The sequence below is a fragment of the Homo sapiens genome, chromosome 16 (genome assembly GCF_000001405.40).
Source record: "Homo sapiens chromosome 16, GRCh38.p14 Primary Assembly".
In the NCBI taxonomy this organism is placed as follows: domain Eukaryota; kingdom Metazoa; phylum Chordata; class Mammalia; order Primates; family Hominidae; genus Homo; species Homo sapiens.
Genome location: NC_000016.10, coordinates 15,888,721 through 15,911,393, shown reverse-complemented (window position 1 = coordinate 15,911,393; position 22,673 = coordinate 15,888,721). Strand labels below are relative to the sequence as shown.

The window sequence follows — 22,673 nt, the reverse complement described above, 5'->3', positions numbered from 1 at the left end:
TCCATCCATCCTTCCATCACCCATTCAACTCATCCATCTATCAATTCATTCATCTGTCCGTCCATCCATCCACCCATCCATCTCTTTATTCCTCATTCATTCAATACTAGAATATTCAAAGTCCCATGTCAGGTTTTTTGTTTTTTGTTTTTTAAGACAGGTTGGCTCTGTTGCCCAGGCTGGGGTGCAGTGGTCCCATCTTGGCTCACTACAACCTCTGCCTTCTGGGCTCCACCTCAGCCTCTCGAGTAGCTGTGACTACAGGCATGCACAATCATGCCCAGCTAATTTTTGTATTTTTTGTAGAGACGAGGTCTTGTTATGTTGCCCAGGCTGATCTCAAACTCCTGGGCTCAAGAGACCTACCCACCTTGGTCTCCCAAAGTGCTGGGACTACAGGCGTGAGCCACCACATCAACTGGAATACCTTTTTCTAATTTGGTTAAGATGACCATATATTACAAGTGGCCAGCCTGGGGTAAGCCATGAGAATATAAAGAAAGATAGCCACAGTCACAGGCATAAGTCAACCCTTAAACCTGCCAAACTGACCAGGCATGGTGGCCAACGCCTGTAATCCCAGAACTTTAGGAGGCCAGGTGCTGGATCACTTGAGGCCAGGAGTTCAAGACCAGCCTGGGCAACATGGTGAAACCTGGTCTCTACTAAAAATACAAAACTTAGCCAGGCAGGTAGTCCCAGCTACTCAGGAGGCTGAGATGGGAGGGTGTCTTGAACCCACAGGTGGAGGTTGCAGTGACCCAAGAGATCACGCCACTGCACTCCAGCCTGGGCAACAGAGCTAGACCTTGTCTCAATAAATAAATAAACCTGTCAAACATCTAGACTTCTGGTTATGTTTAAGATTAATCTTTTTTTTGGCCAGGCGTGGTGACTCATGCCTGTAGTCCCAGCGCTTTGGGAGGCCAAGGTGGGTGGATCACTTCAGGTCAGGAGTTCGAGACCAGCCTGGCCAACATAGTGAAACCCCCTCTGTAAAAAAATACAAAAATTAGCCAGGCGTGGTGGCGCGCGCCTATAGTCCTAGCTACTCAGGAGGCTGAGAATCGCTTGAACCCAGGAGGCAAAAGATGCAGTGAGCCAAGATCGTGCTACTGCACTCCAGCCTGTGCAACAGAGAGTGACTTCATCTTAAAAAAAGAAAAAGAAAAAGAAAAAAAATAGGATAGGCACGGTGGCTCACGCCTGTAATCCCAGCACTTTGGGAGGCCAAGGCGGGCAGATCACAAGATCAGAAGTTCGAGACCAGCCTGGCCAACATGATGAAACCCTGTCTCTACTAAAAATACAAAAATTAGCTAGGTGTGGTGGCACATGCCTCTAGTCCCAGCTACTCAGGAGCCTGAAGCAGGAGAATCGCTTGAACCCGGGAGGCGGAGGTGGCAGTGAGCCAAGACCATGCCATTGCACTCCAGCCTGGGTCACAGAGTGAGACTCCGCCTCAAAAAAAAAAAGAAACAGAAAAAGAAAAGAAATTGATATTTTAAAACCAGTAAGAGAGTTTGATTTGCAACCAAAAAAAAAAAAAAGTTTAACCAATAGGAGGTTATTTTGTTTTAAGAGCAGAAAAAATAGGATGAAAGTAAATCAGATAGGTAGCTACCTATTTGACACATTCCTCCAGCTTACCCTGAATAAACCTGCCCAAGTATGTCCACTATCCATCCATCCCCTGAAAGGGACTGAGGAAGATCTATTATCTAGACAAATTCTTCTGGGACATAATATTTGGACATTTTAAACTTCCCCATAATCTGTCACGCATTTTCTGTTTGATTCATCATTGATCGACAAGCCAATTACTGTTCTTACCTACCATTTTATATTCAGGGACATTTAGTTCTTTTTTTCTTTTTTTGTTTTTTTTTTTTGTTTGTTTGTTTTTTTTGGCGAGACGAAGTGTCAATCTGTCACCCAGGCTGGAGTGCAGTGGCGCGATCTCGGCTCACTGCAACCTCCACCTCCCAAGTTCTCATAAATGTTTTCTAGAGTTTTTTGGAACCCCAAATTTAATATGACATTCAGACCAAGATGCAATAAACAAACATTTATTGATCACAAAAAAAAGAGAGAAGGCTAGATGCAGTGGCTCACACCTGTAATCCCAGCACTTTGGGAGGCCGAGGTAGGTGGATCACTTGATCTGCCAGAAGTTTGGGGCCAGAAGTTTGGGACCAGCCTGGGCAACATGGCAAAAACCAGTCTCTACTAAAAATACAAAAAGTTAGCTTGGAGTGGTGGTGTGTGCCTGTAATCCCAGCTACTCAGGAGGCTGAGGCTGGAGGATCACTTGAGCCTTGGAGGTGGAGGTTGCAGTGAGCCAAGATTGCGCCACTGCGCTCCAGCCTGGGTGACAGATCGAGACTCTGTCTCAAAAAAAATAAGAAATGAAAGAGAGAGAGAAGGAAGAGAGGCCAGATGAAGTGCTGGAGGCTTCTGAAGTGGTACGTAAGAACCAGGAATGGAGAATGTGTAGTTAGGGACAGGAAGAGAAAAATCCTAACCATAGTGTCTTTATTTATTTATTTGTTTGTTTGTTTGTTTTTTGAGATGGAGTCTCACTCTGTTGCCCAGGCTGGAGTGCAGTGGCACAATCATGGCTCACTGCAACCTCTGCCTCCCAGGTTCAAGCCATCCTCCTGCCTCAGACCCTCTAGTTGCTGGGATTACAGGCACGTGCCACCATGCCCGGCTATTTTCTGTATTTTTAGTAGAGATGGAGTTTCGCCATTTTGGCCAAGGTGGTCTCAAACTCCTGACCTCGGGTGATCCACCCGCCTCGGCCTCCCAAAGTGCTGGGATTACAGGCATGAGCCACTGCGCCCACCGATGGTGCCTTTAAACAGTACTCTTGATTCCAGGTGACAGAAATTCAAATTAGCCTAAACCATCATGTATTGGCCCATGAATCTAAAATGTCCAGTGGCAGAGCTGGCTTTGGTCATAGTCCAGGAGCTCAATGGTCTGTGTCACTTCGTTCTACTTTCTCTTTGTTGGTGTCATTTCAACAGGTTATTCTCTGGCAGAGGCAAAGGTGACACCCAACCACTCCTGCCTCTATCCTACCTAGCAACCCCAAGGCAATACACTCTGTCTTGTCCAATAGCTGCAGCAGATGTCTTGGGTTTGAGCCTCATTGGCCCTTCTGAGTGTCACATGACCACACCCGAACCAATCAGTGAGACTGGCGAGGCTGGGTGAACTGTCTTGAATGGCTAGACCTGGGTCTTAACACCCACCCCTGCAGCCAGCCCCACTGAGAGGGCTGAGGGCGGGTGAGTCAATGGTTCCCCAAAGGGAATTTAGGGTACTGTTTCTGAAAAAATGGACAATGAAGGCTGAGTGGAAACAGCAGTCATGGAAAGCACACAACAGACAAGTGCCTTTCTCTCTGCCTCTGCCACTCAAGGCCGCCTTAAGTTCCTCCAGTGTGCTAATTGTTCCCCCGGGTCTTTTGAACACGTTGTTCTGTGTTTTTTGAATGCTCTTCCATACCTGTGCCTAAGTAACACCTGCTTATCCTTCAGCTGTCAGCCCCAACATCATCTTCTCAGGGAAGCTGTAGCACTTGTATTTTCCAAAAGTGGCCACAATTATTCATTCATGAGTAGATGCTCAATAATATCTTTTGAATGAACGCATGCATGAATAAAAGGTTAAAATGTAAACAAAGTGATCTTACACTCTTATTGAGAAGGGTGGCCTGTGTTCCCTTCCGTTGAATCCAGATGAGCTTGAGGCTACTGTGGAACTGACATGGTGTGACTTTTTTTTTTTTTTTTTTTTTTTTGAGATGGATTTTCACTCTTGTCACCCAGGCTGGAATGCAATGACGCAATCTCGGCTCACTGCAACCTCCACTTCCCGGGTTCAAGCGATTTTCCTGCCTCAGCCTCCCAAGTAGCTGGGATTACAGGCGCATGCCACTACACCCAGCTAATTTTTGTATTTTTAGTAGAGACGGGGTTTCACCATGTTGGCCAGGCTGGTCTCTAACTCCAGACCTCAGGTGATCCATCCGCCTCAGCCTCCCAAGGTGCTGTGATTATAGGTTTGAGCCACTGCACCTGGCCAATAATATCTTTTGAATGAATGAATGCATTAATGAAAAGTTAAAACGCAAACAAGGTGACTTTGACACTCCTGTTGTGAAGGGTGGTCTGTGTTCCCTTCCCTTGAATCCAGACGAGCTTGAGGCTACTGTGGAAGTGACATGGTGTGACTTCTGAAACTGGTCATAAAAGGTGAAAAGCTGGCCGGACATCGTGGCTCACATCTGTAATCTCAGCACTTTGGAAGGATGAGGCAGGAGGATCATTTGAGACTAGGAGTTCAAGACCATGGAGGAGTGGAGTGGACTGGGCTGTGACCTGCCAAGGGCAACAAGCAAGACCCTGTCTCTCTCTCTCTCTCTTTTTTTTTTTTAATAAATATGCCAGCCTGGCCAACATGGCAAACCTAGCCTCTACTAAAAATACAATAATTAGCTGGGCGTGGTGGCGCTCACTTGTAGTCCCAGCTACTTAGGAGGCTGAGGCACAAGAATCACTTGAACCCAGGAAGTGGAGGTGGCAGTGAGCCAAGATCATGCCACTGCACACCAGCCTGGGTGACAGTGAGACTTTGTCTCAATTGAAAAAAAAAAAAAAGATATGAAAAGCTCCCACTTGGCTCTGTTAGGATGCTCCATCTTGGAACCCAACCACCATGCCATAAGGAAGCTCAAGCAGCCCGTGGAGGGGGCCCCCATAGAGAAGAAATGGGATCCCTGCCCACAGCCCTGGCTGAGTTCCCACCTGACAGCAAATACCAAATTGCCAGCCATGTGACTGAGCCATCCACAAAGTGGGTCTTCCAGAATCTTGATAACATTGTACTCAGTGACAGAAGCCAGACACAATAGGCCACGTAGTGTATATTCCATTTGAAGTGTCTAGAACAGACAGATCTATAAAGACAGAAGATAGATGAGTGTTTCCAGGGACTAGGGGAAGAGGGAATAGAAGAGACTGCTAATGGTATATATTCTGTTGTTGTTGTTCTTGTCATTGTTGTTTAGAAACAGGGTCTCATTCTGTCACCCAGGCTGGAGTGCAATGGTGCGATCATAGCTCACTGCAGCCTGGAACTCTTGGGCTCAATTGATCCCCCTGTCTCAGCCTCCCGAGTAGCTGGGACCACAGGTGTGCGCCACCACATCCAGATAAGTATAGGATTTCTTTTTAGGGAAAAGGAAATATCGTGGAATTAGATAGCAATAGTTGTACAATCCTGTGAATATACTAAAAAGCATTGAATTGTATGGTTTCACATGGTGAAATTTATGGCATGTAAATTATATCTCAGAGACAACCAAAAAAAAGTGGGTCCTCCAGCCCCTGTCAAGCTGCCCCATGTTGAGCATGGCATGTGGAACACAGACTTGCTGTCCAGGCCACATCCTGCCCAAATTGCAGATTTGGGGGTGAAATCAATGATTGTTGTTGTTTTAAGCCACTAAGTTTTAGGACAGTGTGTTGCATAGAAACTCGTGCTGTCCAACCTGGCTAACTTTGTGAAACCTCATCTCTACTAAAAACACAAAAATTAGCCAGGTGTGGTGGCACACGCCTGTAATCCCAGCTGCTTGGGAGGCCGAGGCATGAGAATCGCTTGAACCTGGGAGGCAGAAGTTGCAGTGAGCCGAGATGGTTCCACTGCACTCCACTAAAAATACAAAAATTAGCCAGGTGTGTTGGCACAAGCCTGTAACCCCAGCTACTTGGGAGGCTGAGGCATGAGAATTGCTTGAACCTGGGAGGTGGAAGTTGCAGTGAGATGAGACGGTGCCACTGCACTCCAACCTGGGCAACAGAGCAAGACGCCATCTCAAAAAAAAAAAAGAAAAAGAAAAAAAGAAAAGAAAAGAAAAAAGAAAAAGAAAGAAAGAAACACATGCTGATATGGAAGCCTTCCATAACCACCAACCTAGGCTAGGTTATGGCCCCTGACTGTCTCAGAATCTCTGCATTTTTCATTATAGTATTTATCTGAGTTTGTAATTAAATATTTGATGAATTGCTGCCCTTTCTCTTGGCCAGTGAGCTCTATGTGAGTAGAGACCGTGTTTACTTTTTTGAGACAAAGTCTTGCTCTGTTGCACAGGCTAGAGTGCAGTGGTGTGATCTCAGCTCACTGCAACCTCCACTTCCTGGGTTCAAGCGATTCTCCTGCCTCAGCCTCCCAAGTTGCTAGGATTACAGGCATGTGCCACCACCATGCCCAGATAATTTTTGTATTGTTACTAGAGACGGGTTTTGTCATGTTGGCCAGGCTGGTCTCGAACTCCTGACCTCAAGCGATCCACCCACCTTTACCTCCGAAAGTGCTGAGATTACAGGCATGAGCCACCTCACCCAGCCAGGATCCTGTTTATTATATTTACTCTAGTATCCTTAGTGCCTGGTACATAGTAGATGCTCAATAATATCTTTCGAATGAATGAATTCATGAATGAAAGGTTAAAATGCAAAGAGATTTAGGGTCCAAGTGGAGGGTTCCTAGGGTCTTCCTAGTTGAGTAGGAGACAGAGTGACCAAAGAGCAGGTGGAAGATGGAGGTGAGGTAGAGGATTTGCGGAGAATGGAGAACATCTGGGAAGGGGAGAGGAAGGATGAGGAATTTGACAAGAGAAAACTGGAGCATAAATATGTTCTTACACACCTAATCCAGGCCATCTGGTGTCGAGGCGACAAGAATGGAGACCATGGAGGAGTGGAGTGGACTGGGCTGTGACCTGCCAAGGGGGGAATGGTGAGGAAATAGCCACTTTTGTGTGTGTGTGTGTGTGTGACAGGGTCTAGCTTTGTCCACCAGGCTGGAGTGTAGTGGCATGATCTGGGCTCACAGCAACCTTAGTCTCCCGGGCTCAAGTGATCCTCCCACCTCAGCCTCCCAAGTAGCTGGAACTGCAGGTGGGTATCACCATGGTCAGCTAATTTTTGTAATTTTTGTACAGATGGGGTTTCGCCATGTTGCCCAGGGTGGTCTTGAACTCCTGAGCTCAGGTGATCTGCCCGCCTCAGCCTCCCAGAGTGCTCAGATTACAGGCATGAGCCACTACGCCCAGCCCACTTATCGAGTGCCTATTATGTCCTAGGCACTGTGCTAAGTTGTTGCATGCATTAGTTCATTTTATTTATTTATTTATTATTTAATTAATTTTATTTTTTAAAAATTTTATTTATTTATTTAATTTAACTAAGTGCTCTTCATGCATTAGTTCATTTTATTTATTTATTTACTTATTTATTTATTTAATTTTTTTGAGACAGAGTTTCACTCCTGTTTCCCAGGCTGGAGTGCAATGGCGCCATCTTGGCTCACTTCAACCTCCGCCTCCCAGGTTCAAGTGATTCTCCTGCCTCAGCCTCCCAAGTAGCTGGGATTACAGGCACCCGCCACCACACCTGGCTAATTTTTGTATTTTTAGTAGAGATTTAGTAGAGTAAAGTGCTGGGATTACAGGCGTGAGCCACCGCGCCAGGCCCATCTTATTATGATATTATTATTATTATTATTATTATTATTATTATTATTATTATTAGTTTTTGAGATGGAGTCTAGCTCTGTCACTCAGGCTGGAGTGCAGTGGCACAATCTCAGCTCACTGCAACCTCCACCTCCTGGGTTCAAGCGATTCTCTTGCCCCAGACTCCCGAGTAGCTGGGACTACAGGTGCAAGCCACCACACCTGGCTAATTTTTGTATTTTTAGTAGAGACGGGCTTTCGCCATGTTGGCCAGGCTGATCTCGAACTCCTGACCTCAGGTAATCCACCCGCCTCGGCCTCCGAAAGTACTGGGATTACAGATGTGAGCCACCGCACCTGGCCCATTAGCTCATTTTAGCCACGATAATATCCCAGGAGTTAGGTACTATTATGGCCTCCTTTTAATAGCTGTAGAAATGGAGGCCCAAGAACGTGTGTGGTGGCTCACACCTGTAATCCCAGCACTTTGGGAGGCCAAAATGGGCGTAATACTTGAGGTCAGAAGTTTGAGACCAGCCTGGCCAACATGGCAAAACCCCATCTCTACAAAAATACAAACATTAGCTGGCATGGTGGTGCATGCCTGTAATCCCAGCTCGTCAGGGGGGCCAAGGCAGGAGAATTGCTTGAAGCCAGGAGGCAGAGGTTGTAGCAAGCCAAGATTGCGCCACTGCACTCCAGCCTGCACAACAGACGGAGACTCCAACAAAGAAAGAGAGAGAGAGAGAGAGAGAGAGAGAGAGAGAAGGGGAGGGGAGGGGAGGGGAGGAGAGGGGAAAGGGAAAGAAAGAATGAAAGAAATGGAAGCTCAGAGAGGTGCTTTTTTTTTTTTTTTTTTTTTTGCCCAAGGCCACACAGGTACCCAGGATTCACCATCCAGTTCAGTGTAACAACAGAGCTTGCGCAGATAACCAGGATGCTGCAGTGGGGCTCTAGGTGGAAAATCAAAGCTTCAAGGAGATCAGGGACATGTGTGTAAGAATCTTCTCGCAAACCAGGGCAGCAGGGAGGGTCCAGTCATGGAACCAGGTGCCACCTCACCTGGCTGAGTTCAAGATTGGCTCTAACCCAAATCACCTGCAAGACCTTGAGCAACATACTTAACCCTTCTCTGCTTCAATTTTATTTTTGTTACATTGATCGAAAGTCAGAAAGGAAAGGAAGTCCTCATTGGTACAGAGGTTAGGAAAATTGGAAGAGATTTTGGAGAGGGTATCAGGTTTATCCTACATTCTTTATCAGCATGAAAAAGTCCTCCTTTGGGCTTTTTGTTTGTTTTGATTTTTGTTTTTTGTTTTTGGGGTTTTTTTTGAGACAGAGTCTTGCTCTGTCGTCCAGACTGGAGTGCAGTGGTGTGATCTCGGCTCACTGCAGCCTCCGCCTCCCAGGTTCCAGCAATTCTCCTGCCTCAGCCTCCTGAGTAGCTCGGACTACAGGCGCCCACCACCATGCCCAGCTAATTTTTGTATTTTTAGTAGAGACAGGGTTTTGCCATGTTGGCCGTGCTGGTGTTGAACTCCTGACCTCAGGTGATCCACCCACCTCGGCCTCCCAAAGTGCTGGAATTACAGGGTTGAGCTAGCCAAAAAAGTCTTCACTTGGTTAAGCACAGTGGCTCACACCTGTAATCTCAGAACTTTGGGAGGACAAGGTGGGAGGATCACTTGAGGCCAGGAGTTCAATACCACCTTGGGTAACATAACAAGAATTTGTCTCTACAAAATATTAAAAAATAAAAAAAAATTAGCCAGGTGTTGTAATGGTACGCACCTGTAGTCCCAGCCACTCAGGGAGGTTGAGGTGGGAGAATCGCTTGAGCCCAGGAATTCAAGGCTACAGTGAGCTATGATTGTACCACTGCACTCTAGCCTGGGCGACAGAGCAAGACCCTATCTAAAAAAAAAAAAAAAAAAAGGCCGGGCACAGTGGCTCACGCCTGTAATCCCAGCAATTTGAGAGGCTGAGGCGGGTGGATCACTTGAGGTCAGGAGTTTGAGACCAGCCTGGCCAACATAGTGAAACCCCATCTCTACTAAAAATACAAAAAATTAGCCGGGCGTGGTGGTGGGTGCCTGTAGTCCCAGCTACTCAGGAGGCTGAGGCAGGAGAATCACTTGTACCCGGAAGGTGGAGGTTGCAGTGAGCCAAGATCACGCCATTGCACTCCAGCGTAGGCAAGAAGAGCGAAACTGCATCTAAAAAAACCAAAACAAAACAAAACAAAAAACTCTTCACGCTAGGATCTGTGAGTTCACAGAACAATTACACATCATAGATTTGTCTAGTCCAGCCCAAGTATCAAATACTCTGTCTACTTACTGGACAGATGAAACTAAAGGACCTTGAACCGGGCATCAGACTGTTTTTGCGTCTGGCCAAGTCTCTTTCCAGCTGTTTGACCTTGGGCAGTTCCCTTTAACTCCCTAAGGCTTGCTTTCTTCATCTTAAAATCAGGATGACAGTAGCATCTACCTCTTGAGATCACGTGAGAAATAAATGCAATGACGCATGAATAATGTTTCATACTGTATCTAGTATAGGGTGAGTACTTCTTCAAAAATAACAGCCACACCTTTTCCTAGGATTGCATGCAATGCAATAATATTGCAAATAAAGGCGGTTGTTGTTTTCTTCCTTAATAAATCAGGAGAGAATTAGGATTCTTTTGGGATTCAGACTAATCTCTTTGAACCAGCAGTTTGGATTTGGTTGCCATAGTGTCCTGGGCCATGAATGGCTGATAGAGAGACATGTCATATTTTCAACAGTTGCCTTGACTTGTCTGATGAGATGCCGTTTCTATTAAGTAGCTGTCTCCAATTTGTAAAATTCCATCTGTGGCTTTCCCCAACCCTTATTTTCCAACAGCCTCTCACTCCAGATCCTAAGAAAAGGCATATCTACCTGGAAGAAAAGAACTAAATCTTGGTAAAAGACATTTACCTTTTCTGAACTCAACCTTTAGTTTTTGTTCAACTGAGTTCCCCTGACAAAATGCATTTCAGCAAGATTTACTTCCAGAATTTCTTTATCTCTAATGCTTTTAGTAAAGAAGGCATTGAATGAATTTATTGCTCATCCCTCTGAAAGTGACCTGAGAATGTCAATGTACCTGTAGGATTTATTTTACTTCCTCTAAAGGACTGACAGTAATATCCAGCACCTTCCCCCCACTAAAAACATTCCACTTTGAGGCCAGGTGCAGTGGCTCATGCCTGTAAGCCCAGCAATTTGGGATGCCAAGGCGGGAGGATCGCTTGAGCTCAGGAGTTTGAGACCAGTCTGGGCAACATAGTGAGACCCCATCTTGATTAAAGAAAAAAAGTTCACTTTGAAACCTCTGGGCAGAGTGCAGTGGTTCACACCTACAATCCCAACAATTTGGTAGGCTGAGGCAGGAGGATCGCTTGAGGTCAGGAGCTTGAGACCAGCCTGGACAACATAGTGAGACCTTGTCTCTACAAAAAAAAAAAAAAAAAAAAAAAATTTTAATGAAACTTCTCACGTGACAATTTTAATCATGAGAACTATGTACATGCCACAGTCTGGAACTTGGGATCTCAAATGGTCATGGATTCCGTGTTCTCAGTCCCCATACAGAAGGGAGGAGGGCTGGCCTTTGGACTCCCCCAAATCTGGGTTTGAATCCCAGCTCCACCACTTTAAGTCTGGTTGCTCTGGGCCAGTTATTTAATGTTCTCTAAACATCAGTTTCGTCTGTGAGATGAGCTACCTTGCAGGACTTCATTCGGTCCTTCTACAAATATTTGTTCTACCGGAGCAGAGCAGGATAACAAGGCATCTGTCCTGTAAAGCAGTCCATTGGGCACCCAATGTGAAACAGAGCCTCAGCCCCACATAGGCTGCAATGCCACAGTGTGGTCCAGGGTTAGGGAATTCTGGGGAGCTCTGAGGGTGCCTACATTCCTGCTGTGCTCCTGGCACACATTGAGGAGAACGCCCTCTGCTCTGAACTTACTGAGTGATGAGTCACCCTTGAGCACCTGAGGAAGTGGAGCAAGTAGACCACAGGCAGCCTGGACCTGCCCCTGGTTTCTAGGATTGAGTCACAGCCTCCCTGGAAGACTTGAAAGAGAGATCAATTCGATCAAGGCTCCAGGGCTGGATCAAAGCCTAGGAAGTGGGGGAAAGGGAGGAGGAAGTTGGGCTTCTCCACGGTCCCAGCAAAGGCCTCAGCCTACAAATATTCTACAGATATTTGAAGAAGGACTGAATGAAGTCCCGCGAGGTAGCTTATCTCACGGATGTAACTGACATTTAGAGAACGTTAAGTAACTGGTCCAGAGCAACCAGACTTGCAGTGGTGGAGCTGGGATTCGAACCCAGATTTGGGGGAGTCCAAAGGCCAGCCCTCCTCCCTTCTGTATGGGGACTGAGAACAAGGAATCCAAGATTATTTGAGATCCCAAGTTCCAGACTGTGGCATATACATAGTTCTCATGTTTAAAATTGTCATGGGGAAGCCGGGCGCTGTGGCTCATGGCTGTAATCCCAGCACTTTGGGAGGCAGAGATGAGCGGATCACTTGAAGTCAGGAGTTCAAGACCAGCCTGGCCAACATGGCGAGACCCCATCTCTACTAAAATATATAAAAATTAGCCAGGTGTGGTGGTGGGCACCTGTAATCTCAGCTACTTGAGAGGCTGAGATGAGAATCACTTGAACCTGGGAGGCGGAAGTGGCAGTGAGCTGAGATCGCACCATTGCACTCCAGCCTGGGTGACAGAGTGAGACTCCGTCTCAAAAAAAAAAATTGTCATGTGGGAAGTTTCATTTTTTAAAAAAATGTTTTCATAGAAACAAGGCCCTACTATGATGCTCAGGCTGGTCTCAACCTTGTGGCCTACAAAGGCCTCAGCTTACTCCCTCAGCAAGCTCTGCCAGTGAGGCGGTCCTACAGAATTGTCCCAAACTGGGGTGAGAGGGCTGGAACTTGATACCCCAGCATGGACCAGGCATCGGAAGCCGCCTCCCCTCGAGCCAGGGGTATGACCTCGGACCTGGGAGAAGGGCATTGGTGATGCACCTCTGTTGGAAGCTTCCTTTATCTCTATGCCCCTCCCTCTTCTCAGACCTTTCACCCCCCAAGATACATTTGAGAAGAAGAATCGAATTAGCCAGGAAAGCTTTAGGAAGAAATGACATTTAAACAGACCTGGAGACCAGGCACGGTGGCTCATGCCTGTAATCCCAGCACTTTGGGAGGCTGAGGCAAGTGGATCGCTTGAGCCCAGGAGTTTGAGACCAGCCTGGCCAACATGGTGAAACCGCATCTCTACTAAAAATACGAAAAATTAGCCAGGTGCAGTGGCGCACACCTGTAGTCCCAGCTACTCGGGAGGCTGAGGCAGGAGAATGGCGTGAACCTGGGAGGCGGGGCTTGCGGTGAGCCGAGATCGCACCACTGCACTCCAGCCTGGGCAACAGAACGAGACTCCGTCTCAACAACAACAACAACGACAACAAAAAGGTAGACTGAGACCTGGAGAATGAGCAGAAATTAACCAGAACAGGAGGAAGTTTCCAGGCTGGGGGATGGGCACATGCAAAGGCCCAGTAGAGAGGGGGTTGGGGGAGAGAAAAGAAGAGAGGAGGGCGAGGGAGAAGAAAGAGGAGGAGGGGGAGGAGATAGAAGGGGAGGAGGTTGAGGAGGAGGAGGAGGGCTGGGAGGAGGAAGGAGGAGGAGGAAGAAGATGAAAGAGGAGGAGGGGGATTGGGGAGCAGAAGAAGAGAAAGGAGGAGAAGGAAGAGAGAGAGTTTGGGGGAGAGAAGGAGGGCAGGGGGAGAACAGAGAAGTGTCTGCAGTGAAACTGAAACAACCGAAAACGGCTGAGCAACGTTGGGTGAGTGGAGCAGAACTGGGGTCAAGTTGCACTGACTCAGCCATTTACTCAGAAGCAACTTCAACCCTCCAAACCTCAGTTTCCATCTGTAAAACAGGCATGATCACATCTGTCTCTCAGCTGTCTTCAGGATGCCATGAAACGACACACACACAATAAGGGCACCATCAATGTGAGTTGCTCTTTTTTATTATTATTGGCTATAGCTGAAAAAAAAAATAATGGTTAATCTGTTAATAATATACCTGTGGCCTAGAAAAAGTATGAAAAAGAATTCAAGAGTGGACAAATGTTTTCTTCAAGTGCCGGGTAAAATATTTTAAGTGAGTTCTGTTGCAGCTTCTCAATTCCTCTGTTGCCGTGTAAAAGCGCCCATAGACAATGCATTAAGAAACAGGCAGGCGGCCAGATGCGGTGGCTCACGCCTGTAATTAATCCCAGCACTTTGGGAGGCTGAGGTGGGCAGAATGCTTGAATCTAGGAGTTCAAGACCAGTCTGAGCAACATGGCGAAACCCTATCTCTACAAAAAATACAAAAAATTAGCTGGGCATGGTGGCATGCACAAGTAGTCCCAGCTACTTGGGAGGATGAGATGGGAGGATTGCCTGAGCCAGGGGAGGTTGAAGCTGCAGTGACCCCTTATCATGCCACTGCACTCCAGCCTGGGTGAGAGTGAGAACCTCTCTCAAAAATAAAAAAAAAAAAAGTGGGGGGCATGGCTGTGTGCTAATAAGATTACAGGCTGGGCATAGTGCCTCATGCCTGTAATCCCAGCACTTTGGGAGGCTGAGGTGGGAGAATTTGTTTGAGACCAGGAGTTTAAGACTAGCCTGGGCAACATAGCGAGACTCTGCTTCTACAGAAAATAAAAGAAGTAGCCAGGTGTGATGACACACACCTGTAGTCCCAGCTACTCAGGAGGCTGAGGTGGGAGGATCCCTTAGACTGGGATGTTGAGGCTGCAGTGAGCTGTGACTGCACCACTGCAGCCCAACTTGGGTGACAGAGTTAACCCCTGTCTGGAAAAATAAAAAAAAAGAAAAACAAAAGATTTTACATTTCTACAAACATTTTATATTTCTATGGAAAAAAAAAAGAGAGAGAGAAAAAAATGTGCACCTCTCGCATGTCACACATGGATTACCACTCACTCCCACTATTTGTTGGTCCAGCCACATTTCCACAATTGTGTGGGTGCCTGAAGGGTCAAAAGGACTCCTATAGGCAGCCTATGGGGCATGGCGCTAGACGGGCCCTCAACAACGAGCAAGAGATACTCAAGACAGTGAAGAGGAGGGGCTATTGGGCTGTACTTGCCCACAGCTGGTTGTGCACAGTAATGCATGTACATAGTTAAAAGTTAAAATTAGGCTGGGCACGGTGGCTCACACCTGTAATCCCAGCACTTTGGGAGGCCGAGACAGGAGGATCACTTGAGGTCAGGAGTTCGAAACCAGCCTGGCCAACATGGTGAAACCCTGTCTCTACTAAAAATACAAAAATTAGCCAGGCATGATGGTGTGCACCTGTAATCCCAGCTGCTCGGGAGGCTGAGGCACTAGAATTGCTTGAACCTGGGAGGCGGAGGTTGCAGTGAGCCCAGATCGTGCCACTGCACTCCAGCCTGGGCAATAGAGCAAGACTCAGTCTCAAATAAATAAATTAATTAATAAATTAAAATAAGTCTATGGACAAAAGTAAGGCTGGGTGTGGTGTTTTATGCCTGCAACCCCAGGCCTTTGGGAGTTCGAGGCAGGAGGATTGCTTGAGCCCAAGAATTTGAGATCAGCTTGAGCAACATGGTGAGACCCCATCTCTACAAAAAATAAAAATAGCTGGGCGTGGCGGCACGTGCCTGTGGTCCCAGCTACTCGGGAGGCTGAAGGATCAGTTGAGCCTGGAGGTCGAGGCTGTAGTGAGCTATGATGGTGCTATTGCATTCCAGCCTGGGCAACAGAGACTGTCTCAAAAAGAAAAAAAAAAGTAAGTCTCCATCGAACACTGACCCTCAATCACCGAGTCCTCACCAGAGAACATTTTTTATTTTTTTGAAACACAGTTTCACTATGTTGCCCAGACTGGAGTGCAGTGGTGTGATCACGACTCACTGCAACCTGGACCTCCCAGGCTCTGCAGGTCTTCTCACCTTAGCCTCTGGAGTAGCTGGGACTACATGTTCACTCCTACACGCCTGTCTAATTTTTGTAATTTTTTTTTTTTTGTAGAGATGGGGTTTCACCATGTTGCCCAGGCCGGTCTCAAACTTCTAGATTCAAGCGTTCATCCCGCTTTGGCCTCATAAACTGTGGGGATTATAGGCATAAGCCACTGTGCCTGGCTACAAGTTCTTTTTTTTGTGTGTGTGAGGTGGACTTTAGCTCTTGTTGCCCAGGCTGGAGTGCAGTGAAACGATCTCGGCTCACTGCAACCTCTGCTGCCCGGGTTCAAGTGATTCTCCTGCCTCAGCCTCCTGGGTAGCTGGGATTACAGGCACCCTCCACCACACCTGGCTAATTTTCCTGGGTAGCTGGGATTATAGGCATGCTCCATCATGCCTGGCTAATTTTTATATTTTTAGTAGAGACGGGGTTTCACCATGTTGCTCAGGCTGATCTCAAACTCCTGACCTCAAATGATCCATGCGCCTTGGCCCCCCAAAGTGCTGGGATTACAGACGTGAGCCACCGCGCCCGGCCTACAAGTTTTTACTTCACTTGGGCAAACACTTAGTTTTGGGATTACTGGGCCAAGTGTACCTATGACTTAATAAGCAATTGCCAAACTGCTTTCCAAAGTGACTATACCACTTTGTCTTCCCACCAGTAGTACATGTGTGTTTGCCAACAGTATTGTCAGTAGTCTTTATTTTAGCCTTTCTGAAAGGTGTGCATAGTTTTTTCTACTATCAACAGTGAATGAATATTCTTATACTTATATCCTTTGTAAGTAGGTGTGATTATATCTGTAAGATACATTCTTAGAAGTAGATTTGATGAGTCAAAGGGTGTGAAAATCTGATGAGATATTGACAAACTGCCTTCTGGATGGTGGTGTTGATTGCCTACCTACCAACTATGTATGGCAGTGCCTGTTTCGACATATCCCCAGCAATTCAGTGTTACTCAATGTCAGTGCATGTTTTTAATGTATGTATAAAGGTATTTATTTTTTCAGAGATGGGGTCTTGCTCTGCTGCCCAGGCTGGAGTCCACTGGTACAGTCATAGCTCACTACAGCCTTGAACTCCTGGACTCAAGCAATCCACCTGCCTCAGCCTCCTGAGCAGCTAGGAATACAGGCATGTGCCACCATGCCCAGCTACTTTTTTTTTTTTTAAAGACATGGGTTCTTGATTTGTTGGCTTGGCTGGTCTCAAACTCCTGGCTTCAACTGATCCTCTCGCTTCAGCCTCTCAAAGTGCTGGGATTACAGGCATGAACTGCTGTGCCTGGTCATTAGTACATGTTTTTTGTTTGTTTGTGAGACAGAGTCTTTCTCTGTCGCCCAGGTTGGAGTGCAGTGGCGCATTCTCAGCTCACTGAAACCTCTGCCTCCCGGGTTCAAGTGATTCTCATGCCACAGCCTCCCAAGTAGCTGGGATTACAGGTGTGTGCCACCACACCCAAATAATTTTTTGTATTTTTAGTAGAGACAGGGTTTCACTATGTTGACCAAGCTCGTCTTGAACTCCTCCTGGCCTCAAGCAATCCGCCTGTCTCAGCCTCCCAAAGTGCTGGGATGACAGCCATGAGCCACCACACCTGGCCAGTATGTTTTTAAATACAATTTTACTTGAGACAATTGCATGTAAGTATCCATCTCATAGGGTTGTTGGTGAATACTTAATGTAAAGCTTTTAGAGCAGTCCTTGCCATACAGAGAGTATAATGAATGTTAGCTACTGTATGATTACCACTGCCAATCGGTCAATCACATTATTATTTGCCTCTCTCTCCGAGTTCCTCATCAACATATTCAGGAGTTTTTTGGATATAAACTTTCTCAAACCGTGTTTTTTCTCTGCTCACACATCAACACACCAATAATCAACACAGAATACTTCTGTGGACCCCAGAAATGTGTGGGGAAATCCCCCCACCAGCAAGCATACAATCTTTTTTTTTAGGTTTAGCCTCACTCTGTCACCCATAGCATGATCTCTGCTCACTGCAACCTCTGCTTCCCAGGTTCAAGCGATTCTCCTGGCTCAGCCTCTTGAGTAGCTGGGATTACAGGTGCATGCCACCACACCCAGCTATTTTTTGTATTTTTAGTGGAGACAAGGTTTCACCATGTCACCAGGCTAGTGTGGAACTCTTGACCTCAAGTGATCCACCCACCTCTGCCTCCCAAAATGCTGGGATTACAGACTTCAGCCATTGCGCCTGGCCAGCAAACAATCAGTTCTGCAGCTGACGCCAGCTGGGTGTCCTTCAGTTTAAATCTGACATCTTCGACCTGAAAATAGTGTCATTTCCCACAGGGTGATAGCTCAGTCCCCAAGACTGCCTTCCTTCAGACACCAGTCGCAAGTTTGGGCCTCTGAAACTTCTGATGGACCGCCTTCAAGTTGGAGCTTCCACAACCCCCATTTTGGGTTCCATTAATTTGCTGGAGTGGCTCAAAGAATTCAGGGAAACACTTAATTTTGTTTATACAGATGAAGTGACACATAGGGCAAAGTATAGGGGAAGGGGTGTGGAGCTTCCATGCTTTCCCTGAATGCAACACCCTTCAACAACCTCCACGTGTTCTGCTATCCAGAAGTTCTCCCAACCCAGTTCTCTTGGGTTTTTATGGGACACTTTATTACATAGGTGTGATTGAACACCGTGTAGAAATGTGATTGGACAGGCCAGACGTGGTGGCTCACGCCTGTAATCCCAGCACTTTGGGAGGCCGAGGTGGGCGGATCACCTGAGGTCGGGAGTTCGACACCAGCCTGACTAACATGGAGAAACCCCATCTCTACTAAAAATACAAAATTAGCCAGGTGTGGTTGTACATGCCTGTAATCCCAGCTACTTGGGAGGCTGAGGCAGGAGAATTGCTTGAGCCCGGGAAGCAGAGGTTGAGGTGAACCGAGATCGTGCCATTGCACTCCAACCTGGGCAACAAGAGCGGAACTCTGTCTGGAAAAAAAAAAAAATTAGCCAGGCATGGTGGTGCACACCTGTAATCCCAGCTACTTGGGTGGTTGAGACAGGAGAATCGCTTGAACCCAGGAGGGAGAGGTTGCAGTGAACGGAGACTGTACCACTGCACTCCAGCCTGGGCGACAGAGCAAGACTCCGTCTCAAAAAAAAAAAAAAAAAAGAAAGAAATCTGATTGGACAGAAAGTGCCTGATCTAAACCCAGCAAAGCCTGTCTGCTCAGACTTTTCTTGGGCTCTCTGTGCAGCATTTCTTCCTTGAGGGTAGCAGGCAGAACCCTTTCTGGAATGAGGGTCTTTTGACCCACAGTCAGATTAGAGTCCTGCTTGGGGCAGGTCAGAGGTGGACAGGAGAAGATCAGAGAGGGAGATTCTGTTTCCTGAGGCCTAAAGTGCCTCAACATTATAATGAGGTGAATGGGAGTTAGATGCCAGGAATCGTGGAGATGAAAATCAATACCTATATCATAACACCACAGGAGTGCTTTTTCTGAGGGACTTAAAAATACCACCTATGGAATTTAGTTAATCCCCAAAAATCTCTTGAAATGCTGGCCAGGTATTCAGTCACTGTGGTTTTACAGAGTAGAGAAACAAGATAGGACCTTTTCAAGGTTACAGAACAGATATGTGTCCCATAATCAAAAATTAATCCAGTCAAAAATTAATCCAGTTTGGAATAGGAAGAGATTCCTCTAGGTTACAATCACTTTCAAACTTTTCTGATGGCTGATCACTTTAAGAAATACAACAGGTACCAGAACACACATGTGTACCTGAAAGGAAAGTTCTAGAAAACCATACTTCTATGTTTTCTATTTGTTACATTCCATTTCACTGAAAATGTACTCATGGGGATCTACTAATAAATAGATTTCAAAACCTACTATTTGGTTAACCAGCAGTTTAAAGAGCATTATCCTAGACTCTAGGTCAAGATACTCTGCCTGGCCCCCCTTTTTTTTTAAGTCTCAAGAAAAAGTAAGAGAGAAAGAGGAAAGAGAGAGAGAAAGAAAGAAAGAAAAGAAAGAAAGAAAGAAAGAGAAAGAGAGAAAGAGGGAGGGAGGGAGGGAAGGAAGGAAGGAAAGGGAAAGGGCGGGGAGGAAGGAAGGAAGGAGAGAGAGAGGAGGGAGGAAAGGAAGGAAGGAAAGAAGGAAGGAAGGAAGGAAGGAAGGGAAAGAAAAGGCATCTCCCCTTGTCACCAGGCTAGAAATGCAGTGTTATGGTCATGGCTCACTGTAGCCTCCACCTCCTAGGCTCAAGCAATCCTCCTGCCTCAGCCTCCCGAGTAGCTCGGACTACAGGGACACATGCCAGGCTAATTTTTTGTTTTGTTTGCTCGGTTTTTTTGTTTGTTTGTTCGTTTTGGTTTTTTTTGACACGGAGTTTCACTCTTGTCGCCCAGGCTGGAGCACAGCGGCGTGATCTCGGCTCACTGCAACCTCCACCTCCCAGGTTCAAACGATTCTCCTGCCTCAGCCTCCCGAGTAGCTGGGATTACAGATGCCTGCCACCATGCCCAGCTAATTTTTGTATTTTTGGTAGAAATGGGGTTTCACCATGTCGGCCAGGCTGGTCTCAAACTCCTGACCTCAGGTGATCTGCCCTCCTCGGCCTCCCAAAGTGCTGGGATTACAAGCGTGAGCCACCGTGCCTGGCTGTTTGCTCTTTTGTTTTGTTTTGTTTTGTTTTGAGTCGGAGTCTTACTCTGTTCCCCAGGCTGGAGTGCAACCTCTGCACCCCTGGCTCACTGCAACCTCTGCCTCCTGGGTTCAAGCAATTTTCCTGCCTCAGCCTCCCGAATAGCTGGGATTACAGGCCTCTGCCACCACGCCCGGCTAATTTTTGTATTTTTAGTAGAGATGGGGTTTCACTGTGTTGGCCAGGCTGGTCTCGAATTCCTGACCTTGTGATCTGCCTGCCTCAGGCCTCCCAAAGTGCTGGGATTACAAGCGTGAACCACCGCACCCGGCCTTGTTTGCTCGTTTTTAAAGACAGGTTCTCCCTATGCTGCCCAGGCTGTTCCCCCTCCCTTTAAAAAAAATAGTTAACAATTATTGATTGTATATTTCAAAATAGCTAGAATACTTGTAATGCTTCCAACACAAAGAATGTTTGAGGTGATGTTTATCCCAATTGCCTTGACTTGATAATTACACATTGTATATGTGTATCAAAATATCACGTCCCTCCCCATAATTGTGATATATCAATTTTTCTTTCTCTCTTTTTCTTTTCTTTTTTTTTTTTTTTTTTTTTTTTTTTTGAGAAAGGGACTCACTCTGTCGCCCAGAGTGGAGTGCAGTGGTACAATCAGCCGTCCAGGCTCAAGTGATCCTCTCTCCTCAGCCTCTCGAGTAGCTGGCATGCACCATCATATCTGGCTAATTTTTTTTTTTTTTTGTAGAAATGCGTCTCATGTTGCCCAGCTTGGTCTAGAACTCCTGAGCTCAAGCAATCCTCTATCCTCGGCCTCTGGAGTAACTGGGACTACAGGCATGCACCACCATGCCCGGCTAATTTTTTGTATTTATTTTGGAGAGATGGGGTCTTGCATTGCCCAGGCTGATCTCAAACTCCCGAGCTTAAGCAATCCTCCCTCCTCGTCCTCCCAAAGTGCTGGGATTACAGGGATGAGCCACCGCACCTGGCCAATGTATCAGTTTTAAAAACAATAGGCATGGAACCAAAAGTATGCTGGAAGTTCCTCGGAAAGAGGTTTCCTTGCTCTTAGGTGGTTTTTTTTTTTTTTTTTTTTTGAGGCGGTGTCTCGCTCTGTCGTCCAGGTTGGAGTGCAGTAGCGCGATCTCATCTCACTGCAACCTCTGCCTCCCAGGTTCAAGCGATTCTTGTGCCTCAGCCTCCCAAGTAGCTGGGATTACAGGCTCCTGCTACCACGCCCGGCTAATTTTTGTACTTTTTTTTTAGTACAGAGGGGGTTTCACCAGGCTGGCCAGGCTGTTCTCGAACTCCTTACCTCAGTCTCCCAAAGTGCTGGGATTCCAGGCGTAAACCACCGTGCCCTGGCAGCTCTTAGGTGTACTTTTTTTTTTTTTTTTTTGAGACGGAGTCTCACTCTGTCGCCCAGGCTGGAGTGCAGTGGTGCCATCTCGGCTCACTGCAAGCTCCACCTCCCGGGTTCACGCCATTCTCCTGCCTCAGCCTCCCGAGTAGCTGGGAGTACAGGCGCCCGCCAGCACGCCCGGCTAATTTTTTGTATTTTTAGTAGAGACAGGGTTTCACCGTGTTAGCCAGGATGGTCTCGATCTCCTGACCTCGGGATCCGCCCGCCTCGGCCTCCCAAAGTGCTGGGATTACAGGCGTGAGCCACCGCGCCCGGCCACTCTTAGGTGTACGTCTAATCGATGTTTATTATTTAGCCAAGTGTTTGGATCTCACCGGCATTACAACTGGAATCATGCAACCTCACACTCAGTTTAGGGTACATTATTCCCCTGTTCCTTTTCCTTTACTTCCATGGGATGTTGGAGCTTATTCCTTCATTAGTTAGTTCCATAAAAAGCTCCTGGACTCCTTACATGCACTGTGTAAGTGCGAGTGGAAGAGGACAGGCTGGTGACCTTGGTTAAGTCTCTTCAGCGATGGAGGACTCTGTTTCCTTCATTGTAAAAACGGCGTGATCATAAGGAAATAATGCGCTAAGGCGTCACAGTAAGTGCTTAATACAGTGGTTCTCGAGGTGTGATCTCCAGACCGACCAGCAGTACCAGTACCACCTGGGAACTCGATAGAAATGCAAATCCTAGGGCCTCACCCCAGATTTACAGAATCAGAAACTCTATGGGGAGGACTAGCAAACAATCCGTTTAAACAAGTCTTGGAGGTGATGAGGATTCATGCTCAAGTTTGAGAACCGCAGGGTTAATAGGTGGTAACTACTAGCAGTTGGTACTTGAGGCTGCAGAGACAATGAAAAACTCAGCTGGCTAAAGTTAAGCACTAAGGTGCCAGCAGCACCCCACAGGGCTCTCCACTGCCTCAGTCCCCGCCCTCCCTGCCGTCTCACTCAACTGGGCCTTCCGAGAGCGCTCGCTGATTGGTGGAGTCTCTGGTCGACATTCACTACCCACTCAACCGCAGA

At 46.9% G+C, this 22,673-nt stretch overlaps 1 long non-coding RNA gene across 1 annotated transcript in view, besides 1 other annotated feature; it reads left to right on the top strand.

The window, feature by feature from the left end:
* Window positions 1-8,846, top strand: part of LOC107984869 (uncharacterized) — a 46,624-nt gene extending 37,778 nt beyond the window's left edge. The window contains exons 2-3 of the long non-coding RNA XR_001752339.2: window positions 6,733-6,813; window positions 8,402-8,846. This is a non-coding gene — a long non-coding RNA (uncharacterized LOC107984869). The remainder of the gene's footprint in view (window positions 1-6,732; window positions 6,814-8,401) is intronic.
* Window positions 10,957-12,156: an enhancer, noted in NCBI's record as "P300/CBP strongly-dependent group 1 enhancer chr16:15993095-15994294 (GRCh37/hg19 assembly coordinates)". NCBI's record gives its function as "activates an origin of replication core promoter dependent on BRD2, BRD4, P300/CBP, MED14 and CDK7 cofactors, with strong dependence on P300/CBP, by STARR-seq in HCT116 cells {active_cell/tissue: HCT116}" and the evidence as "EXISTENCE:reporter gene assay evidence [ECO:0000049][PMID:35650434]".